Here is a 12,398-nt window from a genome sequence, read left to right as displayed (position 1 = left end):
AGAAGCTGAAAGCACATTGCTGTACCATATCTCTGAGGTAGTAATTAGTAGACAAGTTAACCTACTTTGAGGATGAGGAAATGGAAGCATAAGGAAATTATTGAAGTTGTACAAAGCTCAGTGAATGGTTTTAAACTCACCACACTGGATTTGTATAATGCTTTTCTTTTCTTTCTTTCTGAAACGGAGTTTCGCTCTTGTTGCCCAGGTTGGAGTGCAATGGCGCCATGTTGGCTCACCTCGGCCTCCTGGGTTCAAGCAGTTCTCCTGCCTCAGCCTCCCAAGTAGCTGGGATTACAGGCGTGTGCCACCACACCTGGCTAATTTTGTATTTTTAGTAGAGACAGGGTTTCACCGTGTTGGTCAGGCTGGTCTCGAACTCCTGACATGAGGTGATCCACCCACCTTGGCCTCCCAAAGTGTTGGGATTACAGGCGTGAGCCACTGTGCCCGGCCTAATGCTTTTCTTTTTAAAGAATTGTATTATCGGCTGGGCGCAGTGGCTCACGCCTGTAATCCCAGCACTTTGGGAGGCCAAGGTGGGCGGATCAAGAGGTCAGGAGATCGAGACCCTCCTGGCTAACACGGTGAAACCCCGTCTTTACTAAAAATACAAAAAACATTAGCCAGGTGTTGGGGGGCGGGAGAATGGCGTGAACCCGGGAGGCAGAGCTTGCAGTGAGCCGAGATTGTTTCACTGCACTCTAGCCTGGGCAACACAGCGAGACTCCATCTCAAAAAAAAAAAAAATGTATTATCATGCCTCAGGATTCCTTTAGTGTTTTGACTCAGTGATTGCTACAAGTGAGGCTTTGTCAAATATCCTATTATAAAGTGTTTTGGGGAAACTGAGGCACAGGGGAGTGGATTGCCAAGAGCTGGGAGTGGAATTGAAAGCTACATCTCAGAAGTTTGATCTGATTTAACATTGTTGGTTGCTACTTAGCAGCAAGGGTGGTTTCTTAGAAACTGAGTCTTGGCACTGGTCTGTTTTGCATGAAGATGGTGGTAAATGCAGTCGTGTTTCTAGGTAGATGGCACATGGTTACAGATTACAGTTTCCCTTTTCTGAAAGGAAAAGCCTGTTAACCATTATGTTGAACCAAGCCCCTTCATAGTCAAGAAAATATCACACAGAACTACTTTTAAAAGTCTCCAGCAGATCATGAACAGGTATTCATTTTTATTGTGTTAAAAGTTTTCTATGTTTGTATAAGTTTAGATTAAAAACTGTTTACAAATGTATGTGCTTGAATTTTGTTATTTTTGAGAATGTCTCCTAGAGAAGGAGAGACGGAAGCTTGATAAAGTTTTAAAACTAGAAAAGAAAATAAGGCTTATAGTTTTTTAGGCTATAGAGGTAAATTGTTTTTCACTTTAGCATGGTGTGATGGGTTTTCTAGGATGAAAATAATGAAAATCTCTTTTAGGAAGTGTTTCTTTAAGCAGACCATCTGACCTCCCAACTGTTACATTTGTGTGGAAAGAAAGTCCTCCATTGCCCATGGCATTGGGCCAAGTGTGAGACAGGGACCACATTCAGTCTCACTTGTATTGCAAGTGCAAAGATCCTGAACAGCCTGGGTTGTTTCCAGGCATTATTTTTGGTTAATTTTACTGTCTTGCAAGTGAGTGTGCCTCCTCAGGGCTAATCTCTGTCTTTGTCTTGAGCATCAGGTACTTAGTGATTTGTTTCTTTTTTTTTTTTTTTTTAAAGTAGTTTGGTCATATTTCTTTTCAAAAACGTTTTATTATTGGGTGATTTAGTATATATAGGCCTGCTATTGGACATTATTTGCTTGACATTGACCTTAAAGCGGTCATTTTGGAAATGATCCTATAAGACGATAGTGATTGACATGCTTCTGTACTAGCGTCTGCCCTGCCTGCAGGTATTTGGATAATGTTTGGAGTCAATGAATTACTATTTTGGGGGGCTGGGAGGGAGAAGTAATGGTGGAGAGTGAGTTTACTTTCAGAAAACATTCAACCATATTGCAGCAAGAAAGATGTGTCAGAAAAGAATCTTAGAAATAACTGGTATAGGCTGGGTGCGGTGGCTCACGCTTGTAATCCCAGCACTTCGGGAGGCCGAGGCAGGCGGATCACAAGGTCAGGAGATAGAGACCACGGTGAAACCCCGTCTCTACTAAAAATACAAAAAAAAAATTAGCCGGGCGTGGTGGCGGGCACCTGTAGTCCCAGCTACTTGGAGAGGCTGAGGCAGGAGAATGGTGTGAACCTGGCAGGCGGAACTTGCAGTGAGCTGAGATCGTGCCACTGCACTCCAGCCTGGGCAACAGAGCGAGACTCCGTCTCAATAAAAATAAATAAATAAATAACTGGTATAAGGAATGATGTGGGTATTTTAGGTGTATTTAAAGGCTATTGAAAAGGACTTTATTTTGTAGAAAAAGTGGTTTATTCCTTGATGTTTTTTAATTGACCAAGTTTCTCTGGGAGTGGAGCCTCTCAACAAACTAAAGAGAACAGAATAATAGATTTACATGTGATTGCTGAAAGATGTCGTCTTGTGTCTTTGAGGAAGAGTTTAACACACAGATCCTTTCCAGCATTTAAGAATGTGCAATCTGCCATTTATGGGTTCACATGTAATAGATGCTTAATAAGTTTTTGTAGACTATTGAGTGAATATATTTTAGAATTGCTATTGCTTTATAACAGCGAGGCACAGGAGTGCTCCTTTGTATCTGTATATCCATCTTACATCAGATTTACCAAAGGACTTGCAAGGGGAGACATTTAGTGAAATGTTTGTGATGATCTGAAAAGGAGGCTTCTCCAGAATTGGGATGACTTCTTTCCTTCTTTTTTTTTTTTTTTTTCCCAGACACATCTTGTTTGGAAATATCACTTATTATGAAGGAGACTGATATGTTGATTAAACAAAAGTATAGCTACTGCATTATAAGTTGTGTTAATCCGGTTTAAAAATTACTTATTAAAAATGTTTTTCTGGCTGGGCACGGTGGCTCATGTCTATAATCCCAGCACTTTGTTGAGGCCAAGACAGGCGGATCACTTGAGGCCAGGAGTTAAAGACCAGCCTGACCAACATGGTGAAACCCCATTTCTACTAAAAACACAAAATAATTAGCCAGGTGTGGTGGTACACACCTGTAGTTCCCGCTACTCGGGAGGCTGACACAGGAGAATCACTTGAACCTGGGAGGCAGAGGTTACGGTGAGCCAAGATCGTGCCACTGCACTCCAACCTGGACGACAGAGTGAGACTGTCTCCAGAAAAAAAATGTTTTTCCATAATTGCTTAAGTATTTCATAGTACAAAGATTTAACAGTCTGTAAGTTGAAAGTGGATAAGACTAACCATGTATTAGTAGCACAAGATAATTAAAAGACTAAGCACGATTGCAGATAGTTCTGTAAACCATTTCTAGAAGGGTCTGCCTTCTTGTATATTAAATCACTCGGACTGTGCTCAGTATGGTCTAGTCTTGGTAGGTTCACTGCTGAGTGCTGAATACACATTTTGTGACCACTTTTTAGTACATCATGTATAATTTAAAAAAAACTTTCGTAGCGCTCATGTGCCCAGATTCTCCTTCACCACAACCCATAGAAACTATTTGGCACTTGTAAAACGGTAACTGCCAGCCAAAGCAAGATTCTGTTTTTATGAGAAGATTTTTGTGTTACCAAGCCAATCTTAAGAACCAGGAGGACATGGAATTAAGGAATCTTTTAAAAGAAACACCTATAACTCTATCATTTTGCAGCTTGTATTATGGTGCTTATGTATGCTATGTAAAATTAGGGCTTGAGCCTAAGATGAGTATGTTTTGTTGATCTGGTGTCTAAAGCCCTTCAAATAGGGAAAGAACCAGGAGATGAAAGGTCCTCATCTGTGTGGGAGGCAGAAAGGCAGGAAAATGGCAGCACAACACAATTCACAGTAAGAGGTGTTTTCCAGCACCAGCGAGATCTGAAGAATCTTTGCGTTTCAAACTTCTCAACCTAATTTTACTGTGTATAAAATAGTGTTTGTCTCTAAGAAGACTCTAACAAAACATTTTGATCTCTCAAGTCCTTAATTTACCTGGTGGAAAACAATCCTTAAAGACAGGTTTAAAGGAAAAGACTTATTTGCATTTAAGGACTTAGTCTTCAGGACAGTACTGTTGAGCAACAGGTTTAGAATTTACACAGAAGTTCTATTTCCAAAGTTCCACAGTTCCTTGAAGGCTGCTATGAACTATATCTATATCAGTAATGAAAAACTTAATTTGTTCCTTGAGTTATGTGGGCAAATGATATATTTTCCCCCATTCATCACTGTGATGTCTGTTCCGGCTTCTCTTTGGGAGAGGAGCATCTGTTTGGGTGCTAAAACATTAGCATCAGGCCAGGCGCAGTGGCTCATGCCTGTAATCCTAGCACTTAGGGAGGCTGAGGCAGGAGGATCACTTGAGATCAGGAGTTCAAGATCAGCCTGGCCAGCATGGTGAAACGCTGTCTCTACTAAAAATACAAAATTAGCCGGGTGTGGTGGTACACGCCTGTAATCCTAAGTACTCGGGAGACTAAGGCAGGAAAATCGCTTGAACCCAGAAGGCGGAGTTTGCAGTGAGCGGAGATCACACCACTGCACTCCACCCTAGGCAACAGAGCGAGACTGTCTCAAAAAAAAAAAAAAAATTAGCATCTATTTTTTAGGGCCTTTCGAGATAGAAAGGGGATTTTCTTTTCCTGTCTAAGAATATAAGCTACTTGTTACATTAGTAAGATTGTATTGTGTGGGTTAGTATATGTGTGCTTGTAACAGTATCCCTGGCTCCTCTATCCACTAAATATCAGTAGGTTCCCCATTCTGCACACTGGTTGTGACAACCAAAAAATGTCTCCAGACATTGGCAGATGTCTCCTGGGGGAACAAAATTGCTCCCTTTTGAGAATCACTACCTTAGATGCTCTGTTCAGGCTTAAATAAGACACATAAAAATTTTAAACTAGCAGGTGACTAATAATTTGTGAGTATTGTTTGTTGCATTTTCATATTTATCATGTTGGAAATTTAAATTTACCTAGTCTTATTTGGAGAGTTTAACTTTTTTTTTTTGGTTTGTTTTGTTTTGAACTACATATTTCAACCAACTGTTAGATGTTAAGTCCTTTAAGTGAATTTAAGGGTAACATTTTTGAGGCAGTCTTAATTTAAAAAGCCTATTCCTTTCTCAGCTTCTAGAAAACTTACATATTTATGACTGACTTGAGCAGAGTGCGGTGCCTCACACTTGTAATCCCAGGACTTTGGGAGGCTGAAGTGGGCAGATCACCTGAGGTCAGGAGTTTGAGAGCAGCCTGGCCAACCTGGCGAAATGCTGTCTCTGCTAAAAATACAAAAACTAGCCAGGCATGGTGGCTCATGCCTGTAATCCTAGCTACTTGGGAGACTGAGGCAGGAAAATTGCTTGAGCCCAGGAGGCAGAGGTTGCAGTGAGCTAAGTTTGCAACACTGCACTCCAGCCTGGGCGACAAAGCTCTGTCTCGGAAAAAAAAAAAAAAAATTAAAAATTTATCACTGACTTGAAATCCTGGCAGTCAGCCTGCTTTAGAGAACATTAACCAAAAATCCCTTGGTCCACACCCTTTCTAAATTTAGGCATTCATTCAGAGTCTTAAACTCTAAGAGCCACTCAGGACACAGTTGGGTTGCTCTTTCTGGGATGGGGGTAGATTCTGGAGCAGATACTTTACTCCTAGCTCATTTTTTGACCTTGAGACCTGTGGTTGGTGTTGTGAAGTCGTACATACACAAGTGACTTTTTTGTTTTAAAAAGTGCTCTCAAGATAGTTTACAAAAAGCAGGAAAAGGAGGAGTGAGTGAATAAATGAAGAGAGGGGAAGAGAGGAGGAAAAAAGTGTTTCTATTTTAGCAGCTGACGGAAAAAAAACCCAATGAAATAAGGTCATAGCTGACTTCTGAATGGTTCTGGACTTGTTTCTTGACACTGGCGACTTGTCTTCTAAGACCATTATGTAGATCTTCAATGGAACGCCTCTGTTATTTTGTTCTGATTCTGAAAGTAAAAAGGAACAACTGCACTCTTGGGGAATTTTGTTGAATAAGGTAATACTTATGCCTCTGCTATCCAGAGTCACATTTCGCTTGAGTTTCTTTTGAGTTTTGCAGTCCTTTTTGCTCTCAGTAAGAGAGAATGTGTTAGGACTCCTCAAGTAGCTTAATTGCTCTGGTCATTCATCTCTTTCTTGAGGACCAGCTTTAAAAATCATTTTGATACTTAAAAAAAATTAAAGTAACTGTTTCTTTATAATAGAACTTCTAATTAGTTGGTTTGCTGGTTTCTGCATTGGTTGGCTATTTCCTGAGAGACCTGTCATTTCTGTTCTTTGTTGCCACTGGTTATTTTTAAGTACTTTGACTCATTAAAAACATTTTCAGCTTTTAAAGGATGGCCATGAAAATGAACACAACTGTCCTTATTTTTGTCTCGTGAAGAAATTTAATGTATTTAGAAGTAATGCCTTCATTATTCTCTTAATTTACAATATGAAGTAAACAAGCTCCAGTGCTCCCCCACCCAACCACACCAGTAAAATTGCCAGTCTAAAATCCATTCCTGTCTTCTTCATCTCCACTTTTGCTTTTAATAGTATAAATTCTCTAGTATGGTCTTTGTTACTCACATCACTTCTCAGGATCTGTGAGCCTGGGTAGGGTTGTGATAGTTTCCTTGTTTGGGTTCTATAATTAAATGAGACCTCAAACAAGCCTTTTAGGAAAACAATACATCTCTCATCACCATAAAGAAAAAGAAACAGCAGAAGTATCCTACCTTCCTTCTGTCAACTTAAGGCCCTAAGGTTGTCAGTCTGAGCCTTGGTCCTTAAGAGGAAGCAGTGTTCACATTCACCTGTTCCTGGTATGATAAACCTAGTTTGCTTTCAGTTTCTTGTAATTTTGAGACCAGAAAGAAACCTTACTGTGCCCCAATTACTATGGAAACCTCTCCATACTTTCAAATTTGCATTTTTGAATGTAAGCTATAGTTTGCAATTCTTAATACTCACCAATAAATATTATACCCTACTGATTCTCTTTGTATAATGAATATGCAGAGCACACAGGTATTGTAAATCACTTAAAAAACACTGTGGGAAAGTCACAAGGCCAAGAAACTTACTGTATACCAAGGAGAAACATATTTCGAATAAATCAACATAGCTACATGCTAAATGGAGCTATTTTCATAAGTCAGTAGGTGACACCATTTTGACTGAATATTGGCAATTACATATCTCCTCTATAATTTACCTTTTTATTTTCTTTCCCTTACAACTTTTAGGTAGAACTTTAGACTTCATAGCACTGAATTAACCTGCACTGAAAGCTGTTTACCTGCATTTGTTCACTTTTGTTGAAAGTGACCATGTCTCAAGTTCAAGTGCAAGTTCAGAACCCATCTGCTGCTCTCTCAGGGAGCCAAATACTGAACAAGAACCAGTCTCTTCTCTCACAGCCTTTGATGAGTATTCCTTCTACTACTAGCTCTCTGCCCTCTGAAAATGCAGGTAGACCCATTCAAAACTCTGCTTTACCCTCTGCATCTATTACATCCACCAGTGCAGCTGCAGGTAAGCATATGAATCCAAGTGTCTTCTATTTCAAATGTTTTCTTACCCTGTTTTCTGATCTGATAGGTTGCAGATTTAGGGAGCTCTCACATTTACCTTCAAAAAGCAAAAGAAAGTATCACCACCCACACTTCTTTATCCCAGATATAGAACACTGGTTGTGTAAGGGGTTGACAGGGGCCTCAGTTGACAGACGATTGTAGGTTGTGAGAAAGAGAATTGAAAGCTGAAAACTACTCACACTATAAAGCCTCATCTGTTAAAGAGCGGTGGCTGGCAGAAAGAATTGAGCAGTAAATACCACCTTGGATATTCATCGTTGTATGGGATAATTCTGCATTTAAAATTATTTCCCAGAACAAGCCAGGTGCCGTGGCTCACGCCTGTAATCCCAGCACTTTGGGAGGTTGAGGCAGGTGGATCAGCAGAGGTCAGGAGTTTGAGACCAGCCTGGCCAACATGGTGAAACCCTGCCTCTACAAAAAATACACAAACTAGCTGGGCTTGGTGATGCACGCCCATAACAGCTACTCAGGAGGCTGAGGCAGGATAATTGCCTGAACCCTGGAGGTGGAGGTTGCAGTGAGCTGAGACTGTGCCACTTCACTCCAGCCTGGGCAAGAGGGAGACACTGTCTCAAAAAAAGAAAAAATAGGCCGGGCGCGGTGGCTCACGCCTGTAATCCCAGCACTTTGGGAGGCCAAGGCGGGCAGATCACGAGGTCATGAGTTCGAGACCAGCCTGGCCAATATGGTGAGACTCCGTCTCTACTAAAAATACAAAAAATAGCTGGGCATGGTGGTGCGTGCCTGTAGTCCCAGCTATTCGGGAGGCTGATATAGAAGAATCACTTGAACCCAGGAGGCAGAGGTTGTAGTGAGCTGAGATCATGGCACTGCACTCCAGCCTGGGCAACAAGGCAAGACTCCGTCTCAAAAATAAATAAAAAATAAATAAATAAAATTCCCACAACTGACGAAGAGCTCTTAAATCTACATAAGCCTTCTTTTTGAATGTCCGTAAGATTTTATCCCAAGCAAGGGGGCAGCCAGATTTACTAGAAAGCAAAAAAGTACATTGACATTTATTTATTTTTATTTTTGTTTTGAACAAGTAAGTTTAAGTCTGGAAGGTTCCAGAAGTAGTTTAGAAATCATAATGAGGATCAATTAGAAATGGAATAAAGAAGCAGAGTTTTTTTTCTCTTCTTTCCTTTCTTATCTCTCGTTTGTTTCACGGGGTCTCTATTGCCTAGGCTGGAGTACGGTAGTGTGAGATTATGGTTCACTGCAGCATCAACCTCCTGGGCTCAAGTGGATCCTCCTGCCTCAGCCTCCTGAATAGCTGGATTATAGGTGTGAGCTACAATGCCCAAATTTATTTTCTTGTTAAAATTTTCTGCGTCATGGCCAGGCGTGGTGGTTCACACCTGTAATCCCAGTACTTTGGGAGGCCGAGTGGGGAGATTGCTTGAGCCCAGGAGTTGGAGACCAGCCTGGGCAACATGGTGAAATCCCATCTATACAAAAAAAAAAATACAAAAATTGGCTGAGCTGTGGTCCCAGCTACTCCAGAGGCTGAGGCAGGAGGGTCACTTGAGTCCAGGAGGTCGAGGCTGCCATGAGCTGTAATTATACCACTGTATTCCATCCAGCCTGGGAGACAGAGCGAGACCCTGTCTCAAAAGAAAAAAAGTCTCCTTCTTGGCTGGCAAGGTGGTTCACACCTGTAATTTCAGTGTTTTGGGATGCCTATTTATTTATTTATGAGACAGAGTCTCACTTTGTTGCTTAGGCTGGAGTGCAGTGGTGTGATCTTGGCTCACTGCAACCTCTGGCTCCTGGGTTCAAGCGATTCTCCTGCCTCAGCCTCCCGAGTAGCTGGGATTACAGGTGCCTGCCACTACGCTCGGCTGTTTTGTATTTTTAGTAGAGATGGGGTTTCACTGTGTTGCCCAGGCTCATCTCCAACTCCTGATCTCAAGTGATCAGCTTGCCTTGGCCTCCCAAATTGCTGGAATTACAGGTGTGAGTCATTGTGCCAGGCTGCGAGGCCAATTTAAAAATTAGCTGGGCTTGATGGTGTGCACCTGTTGTCCCAGCTACTTGGGAGGCTGAGGCAGGAGGATTGCTTGAGCCCAGAAGTTTGAGGCTGCAATGAACTGTGATCGTGCTGTCTTACTCCAGCCTGGGCAACAGACTGAGACTGACTCAAAACAAAAAGTATAGAAACATTCAAATCTGATAATTAGGAAAATGAACTAAAGGTACCTTGCCGGTTGCAGTGGCTCATGCCCATAATCCCAGCACTTGGGAGGCCAAGGCAGGTGGATCACCTGAGGTCTGGAGTTTGAGACCAGCCTGGCCAACATGGTGAAACCCTGTCTCTATTAAAAATACAAAAATTAGCCAGGTGTAGCGGTGTGTGCCTATATTCCCAGCTACTTGGGAGGGTGAGGCAGGAAAATCGCTTGAACCTGGGAGGCAGAGGCTGCAGCAAGCCAAGATCATGTCACCGCACTCCAGTCTGGGCAACAGAGCGAGATTCCATCTCAAAAAAAAAAAAAAAAAAAAAAAAGGTTTAAACACTTGAAAAATACCTAAAAATATTATAGACAAGAAACTAAGGCTAAAGAAAGAAAACCTAAAACCAATATTCTTATGAATAGGAGACAGGGTCTGACTAGAAAAAAAAAGGGAGTGGGGATAATAAATAAAAACAATATTCTGCTTCCCAACACCCTCCCTGCAACATGGCAAGACCAGTGAAATAAATGGGGTGTCAGTGTCAATTTTTTTTTTTTTTTGAAATGGAGTCTCGCTCTGTCGCCGGGCTAGAGTGCAGTGGCACAATCTTGGCTCACTGCAACTTCCTCCTCCCGGGTTCAAGCAATTCTCCTGCCTCAGCCTCCTGAGTAGCTGGGACTATAGGCACACGCCACCATGCCCAGCTAATTTTTGTATTTTTAGTAGAGATGGGGTTTCACCATGTTGGCCAGGATGGTTTCAATCTCTTGACCTCGTGATCCGCCTACCTTGGCCTCCTAAAGTGCTGGGATTATAGGCGTGAGCCACCACATCCAGCCTAGTATGTGGGTATTTCTATACCAGAGTTACCTTATAACAAAGTCTTTTCATCCCCTTCCTTGTGCCTGTTTCCTTTCAGTTTCCTCCTTTGTCTTCTCATTTCCTTTACTTTATAAATCTGTTTTTTTTTTTTTTGAGACGGAGTCTCGCTCTGTCGCCCAGGCTGGAGTGCAGTGGCATGGTCTCGGCTCACTGCAAGCTCTGCCTCCCGGGTTCACGCCATTCTCCTGCCTCAGTCTCCTGAGTAGCTGGGACTACAGGCGCCCGCCACCATGCCCGGCTAATTTTTTTGGTATTTTTAGTAGAGATGGGGTTTCACCTTGTTAGCCAGGATGGTTTTGATCTTCTGACCTCGTGATCCGCCTGCCTCGGCCTCCCAAAGTGTTGGGATTACAGGCGTGAGCCACCATGTCTGGCCTATAAATCTGTTCTTAGAGTGTTTGCTTCTCCCACTCAGCTGCGTGGCATCTTCCATGCCACCCCCACAATTCCTTGGACTGGTTCACCAGATAGCATTCTTGATTTTTTGTAGTCCTGGAGAGATGTTATTTTCCCCATATTTGCCATGTGAGACTCTCTTAAAAGGAAAAGGCACAGACTGTTTCCGTCCTCTGGGATTTATTGCTTTTTCTTCTAATGAATTCTGGTGTCCAAATCCTATTGACTTTGTAAAACTCCTGCCCACCAACATCATTTTATTTTATTTATATAATTGTTAGAAATAGATAAGGTCTGAGGATGGCAGCCTTTGGAGAAAAGACTAGAGGATGCCCAGGAATGAGAGTTTCACTGTATGGAAGATGACAAGTGTTGTTTGAGAGATGGTAGTGGCATGTTGAGTTTAGCGAAATAATGGGCGGGGTACAGCTGGCGGCTGTTTCAGTAACCAGTGTCTGCTCAGAAGACCTTGTATTCCAGTTGGTTTTAATAGCAGTGATTCATCTGATTTCAAATCTTGCTTGCCTGCCATGGGTTAGTTACTCCCCTGACTTCACTCTCTTTTGAAGACACACCCTCTCCTAGATTACCTGGCTTCAACTGGTTCAGAAAAGACCCTAGTTGCGTCTTCTCTGGGAGTGTACTCCTGGAATGATTTGCAGTTTTGTATCATGGCTGCCTACATTTGTAGACCTTCCATTTGTTTTTCCTCTATTTTCATATCCCTAGGAGAATAGTAGTCTTATATACTGCTAGTTGACTTCAGTGCTCTTAACGTTTTCACTTCCTTCTCATGTGGCGAACCCCATAGAGAAAAATCCCAGTTGTGTCTTGTGAATGAGTTAGTTTGTTTCAGCAAGATCCAGCTTGAGTATAGGCTTTTGTGTGAGCAAGGTCCAGCTCACTGTAAGGTAAATATTGTCCATACTGCTTGTGCATTTATAACCCACCTGGAATGTTCTCTATTTTTTATACTCTTGAAAGTGGTGCTGTAATTCAAAATACATGTTTTCAAACTGATGAGGTTGTCTTAAACAAAAACTATACTTAGACAAGATTATAGATTTTTGAAGTTGCTTCTTTTTTCATCCTTGCCAATGGGTCAAAGAAAATATGTGTTGCTTTTTGGAATATTTGGGTTTTAGTTTTTTTAGAGTCTTTCTTTGCCGCCTAGGCTGGAGTGAGTGGTGTGATCATGTCTCACTGCAGCCTCGACCTCCCAGGCTTAAGCAATCCTCC

At 41.9% G+C, this 12,398-nt stretch overlaps 1 protein-coding gene across 28 annotated transcripts in view; it reads left to right on the top strand.

Moving 5' to 3' along the window:
- STAU1 (staufen double-stranded RNA binding protein 1) overlaps nt 1-12,398 on the top strand; it is a 105,957-nt gene that overhangs the window by 45,664 nt on the left and 47,895 nt on the right. For 16 of the 28 annotated variants that reach the window (NM_001319135.2, NM_001322930.2, NM_001322932.2 and 13 more), the window contains one exon: nt 7,347-7,635. The exons of the other annotated variants lie outside the window; for them this stretch is intronic. In NM_001319135.2, coding sequence (NP_001306064.1) covers nt 7,431-7,635 — 205 coding nt within the window. In that variant the 5' untranslated portion in view covers nt 7,347-7,430. The remainder of the gene's footprint in view (nt 1-7,346; nt 7,636-12,398) is intronic. 28 annotated transcript variants of the gene reach the window in all.

The sequence above is a fragment of the Homo sapiens genome, chromosome 20, assembly GCF_000001405.40.
Source record: "Homo sapiens chromosome 20, GRCh38.p14 Primary Assembly".
Classification (NCBI taxonomy): domain Eukaryota; kingdom Metazoa; phylum Chordata; class Mammalia; order Primates; family Hominidae; genus Homo; species Homo sapiens.
Note: the sequence above shows the minus strand (reverse complement) of the source record. Positions and strands in the feature narration are given on the sequence as shown.